This window comes from Homo sapiens, chromosome 16, assembly GCF_000001405.40.
Source record: "Homo sapiens chromosome 16, GRCh38.p14 Primary Assembly".
Lineage (NCBI taxonomy): Eukaryota > Metazoa > Chordata > Mammalia > Primates > Hominidae > Homo > Homo sapiens.
In genome coordinates, this window is record NC_000016.10 from 76,882,063 (window position 1) to 76,902,266 (window position 20,204).

General features: G+C 36.3%; 1 pseudogene, besides 1 other annotated feature; it reads right to left on the bottom strand.

Annotated features, from left to right (window-relative positions):
• Positions 1 to 20,204, bottom strand: part of LOC100128497 (mitotic spindle assembly checkpoint protein MAD2A-like) — a 50,279-nt pseudogene that overhangs the window by 4,256 nt on the left and 25,819 nt on the right.
• Positions 18,797 to 18,966: an enhancer, noted in NCBI's record as "experimental_44811 CRE fragment used in MPRA reporter constructs". NCBI's record gives its function as "activates a minimal promoter by MPRAs in K562 erythroleukemia cells, with activity observed for both the introgressed and non-introgressed 16:76934841 variant alleles {active_cell/tissue: K562}" and the evidence as "EXISTENCE:reporter gene assay evidence [ECO:0000049][PMID:34662402]".

A 20,204-nucleotide genomic window follows, 5' to 3' on the forward strand; every position in this document is an offset into this window, starting at 1 on the left:
ACTGTATCGAAAACAAAACAAAAATAAAAGAGAGTAAAAGAAGGAAAGAGACCTCTCTCACAATTCCAGTTAAATAGTTTTCAATAGTCCCTCACCAGTTATTATCACTTTTACTCTCTTTCAGTTTCTTCACAGCACTTATCACTGAAATTACCTTATTTGCTTATTTATTTAACTGTTCATTTCTGGACTCCATCGTGCTAGAATGAAACCTGCATCAGAGCACAGGCCTCTTTCTCCCCCCTGTGGCTGTATTCCACCTCTACCATGTGCCTGGGATATACTAGGTGCTCAAGGCATATTAATAAAATATACTCTTCATTTCACAGATGTGAAATCAGATTCTTAGAGTTTATTAAAAACTTACTAAAGCTTTTCTCCTAATAAATAGGCCTAGAAAAGAAATCCAGATTCCCTAAATTGTATTCCAGTGCTCTTGCGGTCAGGGTAACCAGAATACCTTTTTTGGTTGATTTCATATGGGCATTCATATTTGTTAAATTAGAGAGCTATAGAAACTGCCCAGAAGGACAGTAAGGGAAAGGAAAAAATATGAGCTTAATCAATCATTCCTGAGCTTTTGACTATCAAATTTGATTTGAGTATAAAAGATAATGGATAAAATCTATTATTCCCCACATTTATATACCCTGAAAACAGGGACTCTAAAGAAATAGAAAGTAGAGATTGTACAATTGAGCAGCACTGCTCTATGGAAGAGAGGTCCCTGTTGTTCTGGGCAGTCTATGTAAGTACAAAGAAGAACCTCCCTCCAGTAGTTCTAGATGGTCTGCCCAATTATGAGAAAGAGCCTCACTCAAGTTGCTTGAGCAAGGGGAGGCTCATTCAAATGATGCATTGTTTAGAATTGAGAATGTCAATAGCAGACAAGGTAGTAACTATTGCACAGCTCTTTTAAAAAATAAAGGTTACATATGGAAGGTAGTATTACCTTACTGGACATTATATTCTGTCCAGTACTCCTTTTTCAACTGCACAGCTGCCCATTCATTATCCCATGTAATTCAGGTGGTAATGTCAATCACAATGCTTTTTCTGTCTCCTGGCAAAAGCATGGCCTCTGACCCAGATTTAACTCATTGTGCTATGTCTCCTTTGAGTCTACCGTGATTAGCCTAATGGGGGAGCATGTGACCAAACAGGACCAAATGGAACATTCATGAGATTTTTGACAGATTCTAGGAGACAGTGCCTCTCCATATACTCTCTGGAATCAATGAAAACATGAGCCTGGATGGTGGGACTCATTATCACAGAGAAAAATTCCAAGAATGGAAGCAAGAACGCAAAAGCAGAGCTCAGTGATGCACAGTAAAAGATGAAGGCACTTCTGGATCTCAATGCTCCTAAAGCCGAAACCATCTGCCTTGGAGCAGCTATTTAAATAAGAATTTGCCTTCCTGTGTGTGTCGCCTGATCTGTGCCTCGTTTGGTTTCTATTGCTTGCAATTAAAGAATTTTGACCCTGCACTTGTAATTTATAAATTTGACATTGTATATCAAAAGAAGGTATATTTTGGATATTAAATGTTTATTTGAAATTCTGTACAGTAGGATGTACAGTGACGTATCATTAGTCTTTGACATCTGTTTATAGACAGTTTTATTCAATTCATTGATTATTTTGATTAAGGTGTGTATTCATTCATCAGAAAATCCCTAGCTGAAATAAACTCAGATAAATTAATATCTATGCAATCACTGTATTTATAAGAAATAGGTTCTATCTTATTGACCAATGGAAAAGGTGCACAAAGAAATCATACTAAATATAGGTGGTTCCTGTTCCAAATATTCTCTTCAAGACTGTATTTTTATGGTTACAGGACTCAGGAAAGGTGATCTTCACTTTAATTCTAACAGACAAAGCTCAATTTCATCAGGGAAAATAATTGTAAATCCTGATGATAAATCTCTCATAGGAGTTTGCTGATTCAGTACTTCAAGGCAACTAGTGTTCTGCCCTCAATTTTATTTTTATTGCTTTTGAATGATTAATATACAGGCATTGACTAATAATTTCTTTTGCAGAATTGGATTATGTTATTGATGGATTTAGAAATAGGACTTGAAGATATATTAACATAACTATAGAGTTGAAAACATTAAGCCAGTGGGGCCAAAGAGGGGAAAAGTATACGGAAATCTAAAACTCAACTCAAAATAAAAATTATGTGTGACGACTTTGACAAAATAGTCAAAATGACAAATCCTTATTGGTAGCAGTGCTCATGCATTTATAAAAGTCTCATCCAACTGGAAAAGTAGAAGACATATAAAGTACAAACAGATCCTCTCTTATGGGCTCTCAATTTTCCAAACAAATTGGGTGTAAGGCAAATTATGAGAGTAATGTTGCTTCTAATAAAATATTGATTTTAAACGGATTTTCTGGTACAATTCCAAGGAGAAAGTGTGTACCGTTGAGACCTAAGGAGACTCAAGTACCTTGGGCTCTAAAAGGATTATTAAGCTCTGTAGCCAAATGATATTTTTTAAATAATCCAGATTGCGTTAGAGATTTTCGTAAAGTGAAGATAACATTAGAAGTTGAGGTGACCTACATCTATTTGGAGAAATTCATTAGGATTTTATATGATGGGTTCAGGGGATACAGTTTTTCATTAAAAGGAGTGGGCAGTCAAGAGTATATATTTCCCCAGCATCAGCCAATACACTATAGAAAGGGAAAACAATGTAATTAATAATGGCATTAAGAATCTGTCACAAAGTCTCACCTGTGCCCCTTTAGTTCCAGTAGAGAAGCTATTACAGTAGAGACGCAAGGACACATACTATTTAAAGTATGTACTTGAAGGAATACTCAAACACCACTATAAATTCGCCCAGTGTTTTGTTTTTTAAATCCTCAGTTGTAATAAAGCAGCATGTCTTCAAGAAATAAGGTTATGTCATGGTTAATACATCAGATGGAGGAGTCAAGAATCAGAATTCTAGTTCCTAGTACTCTGCAACTAACTTACTCAAATTTATCTCGGTTTCAACTTATCTTGTCTCTAAAATAAGGTTGATGAAATGATCTTTAATATCCCTTTATGTTCTAAAAGTGACCTGATTATATTATTTGTCTAGACACTGCATGACCATTTAAAAAGCAGAATATGATGGGAAATATTTTGTTCTATAACTTAATTTAAATATACAAACACACAAACCAATAAAAATAATCTAGCAGAAGATAGAAGGATTTAAAACTAAGGGACGTTGGTTATTCCTTCTCTCAGATTTGTTAGATTTAGACTCTGAGGAGAAAACTGTTCTCCCTGTGTCTGTTTTTCCTGGTCTTAATTTTCTTAGCCCATCTGAAGGCTAAAAATGTAATTAAATTGTACAATCCTGACTTGCCAAAATTCCTAAATGAATTGGAAAATGGCTTATATTTGCATGGAACACCGCTGTATATTGTTATAATGCATTATGCATGTTTATTTGTACATAGATGTCTTAAATATTAGCTTTGAGTAAGTTTGCTTTCTCCATCAATTAATTATCACATATCATCTATTTCACAAAATTGTCCTAGTTTGCTAACACATGATGTTTATTTATCTAAGTATTAGTTTGAGGAATGGGGTATTTTCATAGTCTCAAAATGTTTATTAATTACAGAAAAGAGTAGCTATATTATGGAGATACCTGGTGGATACCACCTTAACTAGATGGTCAAAGTTAACATCACCAGTAATGAAGCAAATTGACATCATTCCCTGCTCATAGAATCCACTGAGAAAAAACACAGCATCACTGCTGTGGTGTTCCTGCCTAGAATGCATAACATGAATCCCATCATGAGGAAAACATCAAACACATTTAAATAACTGGCCTGTTAAACCTCCAAATTTCAAAGTCGTGAAAAAGAACAGCTGAGCAATTGTTGCAGATTTGAAAGATAATAGACATGCCAACTAAATGGAAAGCAAGAGCCTGAATTAGATGCTAGGCTGAGAACAAAAATAGTCATAGAGGACATTTTGTTGGAAACTGGTGAAATTTGATTATAGACTGAGAACTAAATTATATTACATCAACATTAAATTTCCTCCTTTAATAAATGTGTTTATTTAACAGCATATGTTTGAACTTAGGAAGCGCATACTGAAGTACTCACAGATAAAAGGGTGCCATAGCTGCAACTTGCTCTATAAATGGCCAAATGACTCGGAAAATAAAGCATGTGTGTGTGTGAAGAGAGAGATTGAAAGAGAAAGGAAGGGGAACAGGGAGAGAGAGAATAAGGCAGATGGAACTACTACTAAAATAGGCTCTATACATATGTATATATAGTGGTGCTTGGAACAGAGCCTAGCATGATGTAAGAGCCAAGAGTTGTCCTTTGTTACGTGTAAAATACATGACACCTGATAGGTTCTCCATGAATAATATAGTATTATAATGAATCCAATTGAAAACCGCTGCCTAATTTTTATTTTTTAACTTTGAAGCCTAAAAAATGCAGCTATGAAGATAGTACTGCATATTTCTACATTATTCCAGTGCATTAATTTAGCATCTATTAAACAGAACATAGGAGCTATAACATACAAGACTGAGTTTGTGCTTAAATAAAAGGTACAATAGGCAATAATTGTTTAGAATGCTTTGCGCTGCTTTTAAAGCTCTTTAAATGTACCCAACCACAGCATACTAATTTTAAATAATCAACTCCTATAGAGTAATTGGGGTATAGTCTTAACTCATTTAATAATACTTACTTAGCTAAGGGCTTCCACATCAAGCTAAGCACACAGATTTTTATGAAGCTATTTTGTAGATACTTGGGCATTTTCTTTTAATACCTCGATATAATTAGTTCAGAAGGCCCAGTAACAGTTTGAGATAATTGTGCATAAATTAATTGCTAAAGGGCACAATTAACTTTTTATTAACATTTGTGACAATAAACATTCAACTTGGTTTCTAATATTTCATAAATTCCATATTTTAATTGTTCCTATATTAAGTTTTATTACTTAATGTCCTTGAATATTTGCCTTGGGGACCAAAGCAAACACTCTCAATGTGGTTAATCCAAAGGAAAAACCTGCATTTGATTAGACACTGGGAGTTGGACAAGCACGGGCTTCAGTCTCCACTGCTGTCAGAGGCAAGGAAGAAGAGTTCCTTGATAGGAAACTTCCCGAGAGGACAAGCCTATAACGAAAGTAGTGTTGTCATAAAATGAGGTTGCTTATCTTTTTAAGGAACCCTGATTTTTCAATTATCAAAATCGAGCATCACCCTGGAATCACCTTACGATTTGACGTGTTCAATCCTGAATTAAACATCAAGGATGTGGTAGGTTGTTCACTCCTCAGGGCTCACAGGGTAGCCTATTCTTGACTTTAAGTAGACCCTCTCCTTACATGTTAAAAAAAAAATACCTAATTCCTCAAAGAGGAATCATCCAATCTTCCTGCCTTGGCAGCGTTAAATCTGGCTCTAAAATACTGGGAACCAAGCATCCTGCTATTTTTGGTAATTTTCAGTAAAACCTCTTCATATTACCCTCATTTCCATCTGATGCTTCAGAGCTTAAAGTCTCTTTTTAGCAGTCTCATTAAATATTTAGATACAAATTCCCTTAATAGGGAGGCATTTATATGATTAACTGATGTAGTAATTGACTATATTTTTGACACTTGGAACCACTCTTCCAGTGGCTTCTCTCCTAAGGTTACTTAAACTTTGTTACTCCAGGGGCACTGAGAGTTACACTGTTATTTTTTATTTTATTTTATTTATTTTTTTAATAGAGGGTCTCTGTTGCCTAGGCTGGAGGGCAGTTGCACAATCACAGCTCGCTGCAGCCTCGACTTCCCTGGCTCAAGCAATCTTCCCACTTCAATGTCCTGAGTAGCTGGGTCTACAGGTGCATGCTCATGCCCGGCTATTTTATTTTATTTTATTTTATTTTGTAGATACAGGGTTTCTTTGTATTGCTCAGGCTGGTCTCAAACTGATGAGCTCAAGTGACCCTCTGACCTCAGTCTCCCAAAGTGCAGAGATTACGGGCATGAGCCACTGTATCTGGCCTGGTAGAGACCTTAAATACAAAAGCTTTCTGGGCTTGTTCTCAGAGGCAGTGTAGAAGGATTCACCAGGAACCTGAGTCCTCCACACACAGCCTGAGATTCTAGGGGGCCTCATAGAGGAGGCTGCTCTGGAAGGAAAGGTGATGGAGGAGCTGGGTGCCTTAGGCTGGGAACAGGGGAAGATAAATGTGGGACCAGGCTAGGTGACTGAAACCCCTGGGAGTACATCAGTAGACACAGTGCAGGATCCACTGCCAGGGCCATCTGGGAAGATGCCCCCAAGGCACTAAATGCACTCTTCCTCAGGCCTGCTGGTTTCCTTACACATGTAAATGAAAAGAGCAAATTTGAAAAAGTAGATTTTATGAAAAAACCTCCATTATATATTTTTAACAGTAAAAGGCAAATTGCAAAGCTTTATATATATTTCATAGTTTATGTACATATGTGTGGGGAGTTTTAAATGCAGGACAAATCTCAGTTCTCAGGGGAGGCATTGGGGTTGGGAGGAGATGATAAAATAGAACTTTTTATGTTTACACTTTTTAATTTTATTGATTTTTATTTATTGCATTCTTCTAAACCATTTCAATACAAATCAAAATGTGAGAACCACATGTGATTCTAAATTTTTAGTAGTTGCCTTTTAAAAAACAGGTGAAATTTAACTTAAATGTATGTTTAACTTACATCAAAATTATCTGTGTAATCAATATAAAATGATTAACTCCATTGTATAGTTTATAGTCAATCACTGTGGACCAGCCACATTTCAAGTGCTCAGTAGTGACATGTGACTACTGGCTACCAGATTGGACAATGTACGTTTATAGCATTTAATTCATTATAAGTATTTATTTTCACAATACAACTAATTTTAATAATAAAAATGTATACTGAACAAACTAACACAGGAACAGAAAACCAAACACTGCCGGTTCTCACTCATAAGTGGGAGCTGAACAATGAGAACACATAGACACAGAGAGGGGAACATCACACACCCAGGGACTGTCGGGGGTTGGGGGGGTGGGCCAGGGGAGGCAGAGCATGAGGACAAATGCCTAATGGATGCAGAGCTTAAAACACAGATGACGGGTTGACAGGTGCAGCAAACCACCATGGCATATGTATACCCATGTAACAAACCTGCACATTCAGCACATGTATCTCAGAACTTAAAGCAAAATAAATATATATGTATACTGAAAATGGCTACGTACAAATGTCTCAACCATCCCATTTCTTTGTATTGATAAGAATATAGCTAAATACCCTAACTATGCCATTTGTTTGTATTGATAAGAATATAGCTGAAGCAGATCACTTTCTCATTAAGTTGTCTCATTAGGCTAATCGAAGCAGGTAGCTTTCTCCTCAAGGCCTAAACCACCTTGATACCAAATAACAGCACCACTTTTAATCTCTTTCCACTTAAGTAAGTGCCTCATCCAATAACTGCACACGATACTCATTAATATTGATAAATATTGAAGAAGGAAATAAATCATAATACCTGTGCTTTGTAAATAGCATGGAACAGTGGGGGGAAAAATGCTCCTATCTCTGGGAAGCATGAGACAAATTGCAGAGTCATTATCAAGCACAGCCCTAGGGGCCTGGGGGAGAAAATCTGCTGGTCCCAGTCTGAGACTGAAAATTTAACATGCGCAGAACCTGGCCAGAAAGTCAAAAAAGTTGACATGACCAAATCATGAGTAACTTGGTTTCTCTCTTCCTGGAGAGACAGTTAATCTCAGTGTTGATAAAAAGGAACTCCTTAGTGTCCTGTAGCCAAAGTTAAACAAGAGAAAATATTACATTCACTTTTGGTGAATGTAGCCACCAGCAGAAAAAGTCACTAAAACTAGGAAACTTGCTTCCATTGAGACTGTTTTTCCAGGTACCCAGAGCTGTCTAGATAGGTTGTTTTGTAATGAACGGCCACTTTCTTCCTAAGAAATACCTTCTTCCATAACAGCTGTGCAAAGCTAAGGAAACAAAGTGGAGATTCATTTCTCAAGTCATCTGTAAGAAGCTGTTTAATTTTATTCACTTGGTTCCAAACTCAAAGCCCTATAGTTATTCTAAAGATCTTATGGGAAAAGAGAATTTCAGTCCTCCATGGGGCCCCCTCCATGGTAAGGGGATCATGGCTGTGGCACTACCTTCCCAGTGAAGCCCATTTGGTTCATATAGCAGGATGGTAGGTGACCCCTTAGAATCACTGTACATAATGACACCCATCTCATAAAACATCAGTGCATGCTCAGGAGACATTCCTGGAAAAAAATTTAAAAAAAAATTTAATGCACACTCTCATACTCACACACATCACATGAAACATACACTCACACATATTCATAACACAAAATTAAGACACATGCAGACCACAAACACAACAGATGCTACACATATGAGTATCCACAAATATTAAATGTTAAATTTAAACTCTATTGCTGTAAGTTGTCCTGAGTCACTTTCGTTTGTAAATTAAAAGATTAGAACTTGTTCAAGATGTAAAACACACTTAAAAATCTGTGTCTAGTTTTGTCTTTAGTTTTCTTTCCAGTTAATATTTTCCATAGTTTCTTAGTTTTGCTATCCTTCTAACCTAATTGCTCTAATTTTTAAGTATGATCAGTGGGAAGAAGAAAAGAATCCATCATTAAAAATAACCTGAACATAATTTTCTAAGTGTTTTCTTTCTAATTTTTGTGGGTACATAGTAGGTGTATATATTTATGGATTACATTAGATATTTTGATACAGGCATGCAACGTGTAATAATCATATCAGGGTAAATGGGATATCCATTACCTGAAGCATTTATCCATTGTATTATAAGCAATACAATACCATCTGAGTGTTTCCTTAAGTAACTGTCTTCTCATCACATATATCATATATATTATATATGTATATCATGTATATAAAGCAACATCATAAATATTAAACAGTATCATATATATGTGACTATAACCATATGTGTATGTAACTATCAATTACATGTCTCTTTATATATGAAGAATGAAACAATTCTTCTAGTCAGCTTGAAATGCTGACAAGCTAGAAGCATTATTTGTCTTTATTTTTGGAGTAAAGGAACCGGCACACCTGTTCTTCACTTGCACATCAACTTTCAAGTGAGTTTGGCAACATTAGCTCTTGTTGCTATGCAAGATATATCTGGTCTTCCTGAAAAGGCTACCTTATTTGAGAACATGACAAGGCTCACAAAAAAGTACAATGCAAACAATATAAGAGCTTCATATGAATGACATGACATTTTTACCCATTGGTGTTTAAACGTCATCTGCATCAGTTTTGAAGGAGTATTATGTATACGTGGTTTGTTCTTTGCATCAATATTTCTCTCTGGATCCTCCAAAGACTTAGCTGAAGCATGTGCTCTTATTTTTCTGACAGAATGATGTGAAAATATCTGTGCCTGTAAGGATAATTTCATCTTGTATATTGGTATTTTGCTTCCTCTAACCAAAACCTTATCAATGTTTATTTTCTTGTTTATGTGTCATTTCTTCTATTCTTGACCAGACTTTCTGTTGTAATACTATAAGAACAGATTCATGTAATCAGTGATAGATACAAGGATTTGGGCCTGTTTTTGGATGACTTGTTGGTAACGGTATAGTTGGATGGTGTTCAGTTGGGAATTTTTCTCTTTTTACCAGAAAGCTATGCTATGTTGATACTTTACATCCACATACAATGTTGATACTTAGATGGCACACTGAGACATATAAAAGACCCAGCTCCAATCATTTGAGATGTATTTGTAAGAAGGTATCAAATATTTTTTAAAATCACTATTGTCATATTTTTCAAACAAATTTACTTTTATACATAAAAGATGCAAAGCAAAATTCAATAAGATTGTTTTATTGAGCATCAAAGACTCCATTTAGGAGGCAGATGATAAAGGAGTCAAGCAAAGAAAGCTCAGTGGGCCCATTCTCAGAAACAACCTAACATGATTTGGATTTTGTTAGTTGTGTCAAGAACAAGGACAGAACCCTTTTACTAGATGAGTGTAAAATTGTAGGAAAATCCAAATTAATCAGATCTAAATTTACAATCATTAAAGGCATTAATATCCTCAGCAATATTAAATAGGCATTGGTTCCTTCCAATGTTTTTCTCCATTTGTATGTTGAGTTAAAAAATATATACATGGAGGAAAAAAGTGTATATAGATATATAGAGAGAGCGCCTATTGATTTGACTCTTTAGGATCGATGAGAGGAGGAAAGAAAAGCTTACGTGGGTTCTAAAAACAAACTGTACCACTGCTTTCTAGTTTTGATTATATACATAGCTGTATGCTATGGTTTGGATCTGTGTCCCTGCCCAAGTCTCGTGTCAAATTGTAATCTCCAGTGTTGGAGGTGGAGCCAGGTAAGAGGTGGTTGGACCGTGGGAGTGAATCCTTCATGAATAGTTTAGCACCATCCCCTCGGTGCTGTTCTTGTGAGAGTTCCCATGAGACCTGGCTGTGGAAAGTGTGCAGCACCTCCTCTGCCCCTCTCTCTTGTTCCTGCTCTGGCTATGTGATGTATGTGCTTTCCCTTCACCTTCCGCAATGACTGTTGAGTTTCCTGAGGCCACTCTAGAAGCCAGGCAGATGCCAGCACCATGCTGCCTGTACAGTCTCTAGAACTGTGAGCCAATTAAACCTCTTTTCTTTATAAATTATCCAGTCTCAGATATTTATAGGAATGCAAGAACAACCTAATGCAATATATACAATATATACATATACAAATGAATGATATGTTGATTTGTGAATTATATGTAATATACATATATAAATTCTGCAACAGATCTTTGTTCATTGAGCATATAACATCCATAGGTTAACCACTGTAGCCAACTTTATAGCCTAGAGAGAGCAAATGATATTTTTTCTGAGCATTATATGCAAATTATTGCTAATATTGACCATATATGATTTAATTTAATTCTTAAAAATACTCTGAGTAAAATGTCATTATTCCTACATTATGATAAAGCTAATGGATTCAAGAGGAGTTAAAACTTCAAGGATGGTAGGGTAAGTAGCTCAGCAAACCTTTCCTCAGTAAAACAATTTTATGGTGAGAATTAATTGTAAAAGTTGTTAAAATTGTCCTAAGGGTATACAGTAAAGAGAGACATGCTTTCAAGGAAGTCTGCTAAGTCTCAGTAAGAACAGTGAGTCTGTGGCATGTGAGTCATGATGTGCTCCCCACCATCTCAACTGTGGTACTGTACTCTGGACAACAGTGGCCAAAAATAAAGCTCGTTCTTCCCGCATCTGCCTTCTGGGGATACAGAACCAGACCTCACCATTGGGAGAGCAGGATCTCAGTGTTTCTCACCTCACTTTAATCCCATGTTGCAGAGTCTCTATTCTAGGTGAGAAAGAGAGGACCAATCTCCCTTCACTTGTCAACCCCCTCACTCCCAGAGGGTGGAAGCTTAACTCTAGGCCCTGCAGGCCAAGAATGCTGGGGCCCCAGTCATCCTCATTTTATCTCACTCCTAGGGCAAATATTCCATTTCCGAAGGGGCAAGCCAGGAAGACCATAAGCTACCATCATCGGGAAAAGCAGTTCCCCACCCCTAGCTCTAGTACAATGACTAGAGGTTCTGTCAAAAGTGAAAGGTAGGCCATAAACCAAGACCTATGCAAGCCTGAGGGGACTGACTTTATTTAGAATCATTCATGGAGAACTTCCTGCCAAAGAACTTTGTCAGAAACAATGGAGATCTTGGTAGAGCACAGTTTATAAAAACGTGGTAACTCCATAATACAATAAAAGTGGCAGAGCAGCTAGAACTTTAAAACACAGAGCCCAGAAAAAAGACATCCAAGATCTTGGGATCACTTCAATTATTGAGCTTGGGAAGAGTATGCACCTGTACTAGACTACACTCAGAAGTAATCAGAACAGGGTGTGGGGAGGTCTTGAAAGCATTCCTTAAGCTACACATAGACTCATCACAGTTCCTGAATAAAGATGAGGCAAAATATGTAAACACTCTTAACTACAATAGCAGCCTCAAAGCTATAGACACATCTAATGATAAAGGTAAAAAATATCTAATTGGCAAAGAATATTTAAGCATGGCATTGGACCAGTATTGGCTTATTCTACCCAGGATAAGCCTAAGTAGCTGGGATGAAGGATGATAACAAGGGAGTAAAACAGTCTCTGCAAGGACATGACAGGTTGCAGACTGTGGGGAAAACAGACTTCCCAGAATTAAGCCAAGTTTGTAAGCCAATAAACAAAAAAAAGAGCAAGCAACAAGAACAACTATTAGGGGTGGAGTAGGGTTGCTATCTGAAGTTACTGCTACATGTTATTTAAAATGTCAAGTTTTCAAGAAAAAAGTATGAGACATGCAAATAAATAGGAAAAAGTGGCCTATATGCAGGAAATAAAGAGGCAATAAAAACAGCCTTTGAAGGGACCCACACTGTCAATGTAGCAAAGACTTCAAAGTAGCTATTATGAATATATGTAAAAAATAAAACCACATTTAAAGAAGGAAAGAACTATGGTTACAATGCCACCAAAATAGAAAATATTATTGAAGTGAAAGCATCATTCTTTGAAAAATAACCAAATACAAATTCTGGCATGAAAAGTACAATTGACATAAAAAATTCACTTGTAATATTCAACTAGTATTCAACAGTAAATTTGTGCTGGCAGAGGACGAACCAGTCAACTTGAAGACAAATTAATAATGTTTCAGCAATTTGAAGTACAGAGAGAAAACAGACAAATGAATGGAGCCTCAGAGAAATGTGGGGATACCATTAAGCATACCAATATATGCATAATGAGAATGCCAGAATGAGAAAAGAAGGGACAGAAAAAAATATTTGAAGAATGAATGGCTGAAAACTTCCCTAATTTGATGAGAAAACACTAATCTGCACATCCAAGAAGCTCCACAAAATCGAAGTAGTATAAACACAAAGTAGTACATTGAAACACATTGTAGTCAGTGATGAAAAGATAAAGAAAATCTTAAACTCATCACAGACAAGGTATACCTAACAAGCTTAACAGCTGATTTCTCATCAGAGACAATGGGGGCCAGAAAGTAGTGGGATGGCCCCTATTGTGGGACTAGATGGAAGGAAGTCGTATTCAAAGTGCTGAAAGTAAAAAGCAAAAACAAAAAAGAAAACCTCCCAACCAAAAGTGTTATTTTGGCAAAACTACCTTTCAAAAAAGACAAAAAACTCTTCCCAGATAAATGAAAGCAGAATGCGTTGCTATCAGACCTGCCTTTCAAGTAATATGTAAGGAACTATGTCAATCTAAAAGGAGGGACACCAGAAAATAATTCTCATCTATACAAAAAATTAAAGATTGCCAGCAAAGGTAACTATAAATGATGGTTTAATTGTATATTTCTTCTTTTTTCATTTAACTTATTTAAAAAGTAATTGCATAAAATAATTTATATATGTTATCTATGTACTGACTATGTGTCGGTATATGTATATGACTATAGTATGACCCTCTAACTTAAAAAAATGTAATATATTTGACAATGACCAAAATGAGACAAGTTGGAGAAAAGCTTCATTGGAATAAGAAAATTACGCAAGAAGATAACTCAAATCCATGAATAAATGAACAGAACTGGAAAAAGTAAATAAGGTTTATAGAACAAACTCTGTGTATATATTATACTCTGTTTTTCCCCTCAGCTCCTTTAAAATGCATCCAATAACTATAACTATAGTAATAACTATCAAAATGTATTGTTGGGTTTGTAACATATATAGATATAATGGCACAGGTAATAGCACAAAAAAAAGAATAGAGCCATCCCTGCAATTAATTTAGTATACATATGAAGTAGATTTTGTTAAAAGATGTATATTGTAAGCCCTAGAACAGCCACTAGTAAAATAACCCCGAATTATTTTTAAACATTTTTAAAATTAAAATGTTATGCTACACAGAAAGGGGAACATCACACACCGGGGCCTGTTGTGGGTCGGGGGAGAGGGGAGGGATAGCGTTAGGAGATATACCTAGTGTAAATGACGACTTAATGGGTGCAGCACACCAACATGGCACGTGTATACATATGTAACAAACCTGCACATTGTACACATGTACCTAGAACTTAAAGTATAATAAATATATATATAAAAAAAACAGTCAACTTGACAATTATGAATGAACAGGGATTTTTCTAAAAATGAGACACGTAGAAAACAAAAAGCAACATTTCAGATATAAATGTAACCATACAATATAACAGTAAAACGCAATAAAAAACAGATTATCATTTTATATTAAATAAAAGCAAGGGTCCTTTTAATTATCACCAACCATATGCTGCCTACAGGAGCCATATTTTATACTCAAAGATACAAATGGCTGAAAGTAGAAAGTTGAAACAAGCTATACCATACCATGCAAATAGCATTCACGAAAGAGCTACGGTTGCTATACCAATATCAGGCAAAGCAAAAAATCTTACTAGAGATCAAAAGGGGCATTTTACAGTAAGTCGCTCCATCAGGAAGATGAAACAGTTATAATTGGTAGAATTAAAGGAATAAATAGATAATTCAACAGTAATAGTTGGAAACTTCAATAACTTTCAATAAGCACTAGAAACAAAATAAATGATAAATTGAAATATATAAAACTATATAGTCTGCAATATATTTATATACTTATTCATATTTGTATAATGTATTTTTGTATATTTATAAAATTATATGTATTAAATGTCCTCTGAAACATTATCAAGAAAATGAAACAGGGAAGTGAAGTGAAGACTACTGGCAGAATGGGAGAAAATGTTTATAAATTATGTATATGAGACATAAAGGATTTTATATGAGGAATATATAATAAGCTATTATAACTCAATAAGAGGCAAAATAATGCAATTACAATAGACAAATCATCTGAATAGACATTTATCCAAAAATGATATATGCATAGTTGATAAGCACATGGTAAAATGCTAAATATCGTCTGTCATTAGGAAAATGCAAATCAAGACTACTAAAAGATTATGAGAGACCACTTCACACCCATTAACACAACTACAGTTAAACAAATCAGACAGTAACAAATATTGTCAAGGGTGTGGAGAAATTGGAGCCCCTCATTCCTTGCTGGTGGAAATGTAAAATTCTGAAACTTCAGAAAACAGTTTGGCAGTCCCTCGAAATGTGAAACTAGCAGTTTCACTCCTAGGTATATACGCAAAAGAATTACAAACATATTCCATACAAAAAATGTCACACAAATGTTCATAGCAGCATTATCTGTAATAACCAAAAAGTGGAGACAGCTTAAATGTCCATTAACTGACGGGTAGATAAGCAACATGAGATCTATCCATACAACACAATATCATTCAGCAAGAAAAGTAAGTACTAACACATGCAACCACATGGATTAACCCTGAAAACATGCTAAGTGAAAGAAGTCAGTCTCAAAGTGTCACATATTATTTGATTCCATTTGTATGAAGTGTCCAGAATAGACAAATCTGTAGATCTATAGATCTAGAAATTCAGTTAGTGATTGTCTGTTGGCTTGGGGTGGAGGGAATGGAATGGGCCTGGTTTTTTGTTTTGTTTTGTTTTGTTTTTTTGGGAAGCGGAGACAAAATATTTTAAGATAGTGGTGATGGTTGTATAACCTTGCGAATATTCCTAAAAAACATCAAATTGCACATTTTGAATGAATGAATTATATAGTAATTGTAAACCAAAAGGGCTATTTGGAAAAAGAAAAAAAAAAAAACAGAGCTAACAGGCTTATAGGTGTAGTAACATAACACACCCTTAGTCATGTTCCCAGTAAGTGGCAAAACTGGAATTTAACTATGATTCTCCAAGTGCAAACTCTATTCTTCTACTGCAGATCTCTCAGGCTGCTTTCTAATTCTAAAATAAAAATGTCTATAGACCAACTTTTTGCAAGGAGGGTTTCAAAGAAGCTGATGTTGCTTCCCTTACACATTGGAGGACTTTTCATTCAAAGCACAGATGCCCTTCAGTGAAGTCTCACACTATTATTTATTGAACAATAGGAAATCATGACAGAGTGACACAGAAGTCATGTGGGCAGTTTTCAAGGTAACTGAAGCTGGTGTCAGCTCTGAAATACCCTGGGATGCAAGCAAATTCTTCTTAGAGATTTCAAGTGTCCCTCCAATAAAGGGCTTGTTTCCATTGCCTCTCTTTCTGGCAAAAACCCTTACCACAGATCAATCCTCAAAATACTCTCCCCAGTCTAACCCATAGCCACAGCCCATGGCAGCCCTGTCAATAAATTGGCATTAAGGATAGCTTTAAGATGCACCAATGTGGCTGGGTGCCATGGCTCACACCTGTAATCCCAGCACTTTTGGGAGGCCGAGGCAGGCAGATCACCTGAGTTCAGGAGTTCAAGACCAGCCTGACCAGCATGGCAAAACCCTGTCTCTACTAAAAATACAAAAATTAGACCAGAGTGGCAATGTGCCCCTGTAATCTCAGCTACTTGGGGAGGCTAAGACAAGAGAATTGCTTGAACCCAGGAGGCAGAGGTTGCAGTGAGCCGAGATCATGCCATTGCACTCCAGCCTGGGTGACAGTGAGACTGTCTCAAAAAAAAAAAAAAAAAAAAAAAATGCACCAATGTAAAGTGGCAGGTTCTCTATTGCCAAACATTATGATATTACAGGGTAAAATCCTAACACAAAAGGACTGCAACTATATTAATAACGACTCAGCCAGAGAGAGGAGGTGATAAGCACAGATTTCCTTTATAGGATCTTTACTTGCAACCCAAAACACAGACTTTGCAGAAGACGAGCAGGCCTGTTTCACCTTTCAATCCAATTCTCACTTTTTCTCCTGCCCGGAATCCTGTGTATATGTGGGGGGTGGTGATGGTGGAATTCTGGCTTTATCGAATGGTCTTAAAATAATGTGCCATAAACATTTCACATTTCTTGAAATAGAAATATATATAAGCAACAAATAAATAGGGTAGCAGAATAGAGAAGGCTTAAACGTCCATGTGGATCCATATCCTTGTTTACATCGCACACTGGTATTCTCTAAGACGCCTGACCTTTCTACTGAAATACCCGCATTTTCCGGAGTGTTCTATGAGATGTGAGTGCAGATAGTTACGCTCTTAGGCTGCATCCTCCTCCTCACTTTGCTTTGTGCAAAATTGAAAATTTCTGTACTAGAGAAATGAATGACATGTCCTTTTAGAAGTCCTTCGTGGAAGAAGTCAACACTTCAAATATGTGGAAGAAAGTCATGTTAATATCTTCAGGATGCTAAATCGCAAGATGGCTACGTGGACCTCTGTGTGGCAATGCTTCTTAAGCACGGGCACCCTGACTGGACATGATTACCTGGACAGAACGCGTGCATTACGTTGTGTTGTTTCCTCAACCTGTGTTTTCTTCAGGCATTATACTTTCAGAACTACAACAACAATTTGGATAAACATCTGTGTTTTAATTAGACAGAATAAAAAAAGAATATTTTAATTAATGCCATGTATAATTTTGTATAATACGTACAATTATATATCTAACAGTATATATAGTTAGCTGTATATGCCTAATGTAATCCAGAAGTAAAATTTCCAACCAGCCTCCTAATTATATGGGCATCAATTATCCTGACAAGCATAAGAAAGCTACCTGAACTCTTCTTTTGAGATTTCTAGATCTCTCTGGCACACTGGGCTGAAATCCTAACATTTTCTTCTTTTTGCACAGTGCTTAAGGCCAGTTTCTCTGGTCTGTTAACTCACTTGTAGAAAGGAAGAGTAAATTGCCCTTGACTGCACAAACAGCCTTGACTTTTTTTTTTTTTCCATGAATACAAATGGAAGATTTTTAAAGCTTGGCAGTTTGCAAAGATATGACTCCTAAGACAAATTAAAGATCAGGAAAACTTTTTTTTTTTTTAAATTTAAAACTTGATTTTGTGGAGAGGTAGCCTGTGTGGTAATTATGATTCTGACACTGTTTGGCAATCTTAGACAACCATATAATCTCCCTAGACACATATTTTTCATTAATTAAAAAAAGTGTGAATTTAATGTAGGAAGGATACACCAGATGACCTCAAATACTTATCCGGTTTCAAAAATTGATGTTTTCATAATTTAATATGCATAGAACTAGCACTCTCCTCCTCTTCCTGCACTTCTAACAGACGCTCCTACCATATGCTCCTCCTGTGCTCTGTGCAGTGATCCATTGTAGCAATTATGTGATTGTATTGGAATTTTGTTTTCTATATTTGTCATTCTAGTAGCTTATTAACTTAAGGCCGAAGTCTGAGTTTGCTGTTTCTTTTTTCAACTTCACGTTCTAAGTTTCAAACATGTAGCTTAGCACAAAGTGATTCTAAATATGAAGTTGTTAAATGAACTGAAGGAATTAATAAATTAGTTGATAGTATCAAGCAATAAAAATTGAGCTACTTGTGGTACTTAATTTGCATTTTAGGAGAAAAAAAAAAGAACTTGTATCAAGCGTGGCCTTACCAACAGCCAGCCACCTGGAGGATACATTCCGAGTGGACTGGTAAATGTTTCCTATCTTAGTATGTGACCTTAGTATGCAAGCTCTGGAATTCCCCAACATATTAATCTAGGTGTTATTAAAAGCTTTTGGTCCTCAAGTGTTCATTGTGAAAATGCAAATATCTGAGTAGAACAGAAAAGAAGGGATTAATTAGATAGTGTTAAAAGCAGAGCTAAAAGTGAGAACAGCAAGGAGAGAAAGAAGCATGTTCTGGATAAAACAAGACAAAGAATAAGACCATTTTCTTCTTTTATTTCTTGTTTGTCTGTCTGACTACTCTATGCCAGACACATATTACAGCCTGGCCAACATGAATCCTAAGGTCTGATGGGGAGTAGAGATGATTAAGCAAGAAATTCTACCATGGAATGATCAGTGCTGGGCTAGGGAAACATAGGGGCTACCACAGAGGAATCAGAGAAGGCTTCCAATGGGGATGACACACTTGCCTAGATCTGAAGATCCAGTAGAAGTTAATGAGATGAAGAGATGAGGAGAAGTGGTCCATTCAGAGACAAAAATGCCTCTGTGTGGAGTGAGGCTCAGCTAAAAATTTAAGATTCATGTTGTAAGGTTTAGAATGTTGCGGGGAGAAGGGTATGGGGAGAGATGATTCTGGAGACTTAAACAGAGGCTGGCACATGTAGGTCTTGTAAACGTGTATAATATGTAAACCACATTAAATAATTCTCTCAGGGTCAAAGAGTATTTCCTTGTAGAGTTTTAGACAGAGGAGTGACAGATCTGGTATAGATTTTTCAAAATTCTCTATAGATTTCATGTAAAGACATTATTTCTCAGAAAGAAGTATATTGGAAGCCAAGAGCTCAAATTAAGAGGCTTTTCCAGATCAAGTAAGAGATAAGAGTGGCCTAGACTAAGTCAAGGACCAGTTTGATAGAGAAAAGAAAATGCGTTTAGCAGATAGAAGGAGCGGGTCTCAATAATTCATGTAATCTGGAGGTAAAGAAGAAAGACGAATTAAGAATGAATTACAGGCTTGGGACGCTCCATAGGTTTTTAATGATACCATTTGTTCAAGTGGGAAACATGAAAGCAAATTCATGTTTCTGAGAAGTGCTGGTAAAGTGCATCTGAAACATGTTTCGTTGAAAAGGAAAAGCTTGTTGTATATTGGAGTTGTGGGCAGGAAAGACAAGTTTAAGTGATGTTAGGATAGTGGTAAATGGAAGTGATGATATTCCTGGAGAAACATGGGCAATTGGTTTGTTAGACACTTTTACTTAACTATAGTTTTTATCAGCAAATCCCTGTGATTGTGATTCTGATGAGACTCCAGTTAAGAAGTACTAGCTGGGGACCAGTCAAAGAGACGGACTTGGAGAGAACCCTGAGGGACACTGGCCTTTAAAAAATGGGCAGTGGAAAGGGGTCCTGTCCCGGAAACTAGGAAGAGCAAGTGGAAGGTCAGGAGGAGATCCATGAGCTGGAGGTGTGGTAAAGTCAATGTTACCCAGCCAGGTCACTTATGGCAAAGACTGAGAAGGTTCTATGCATTTA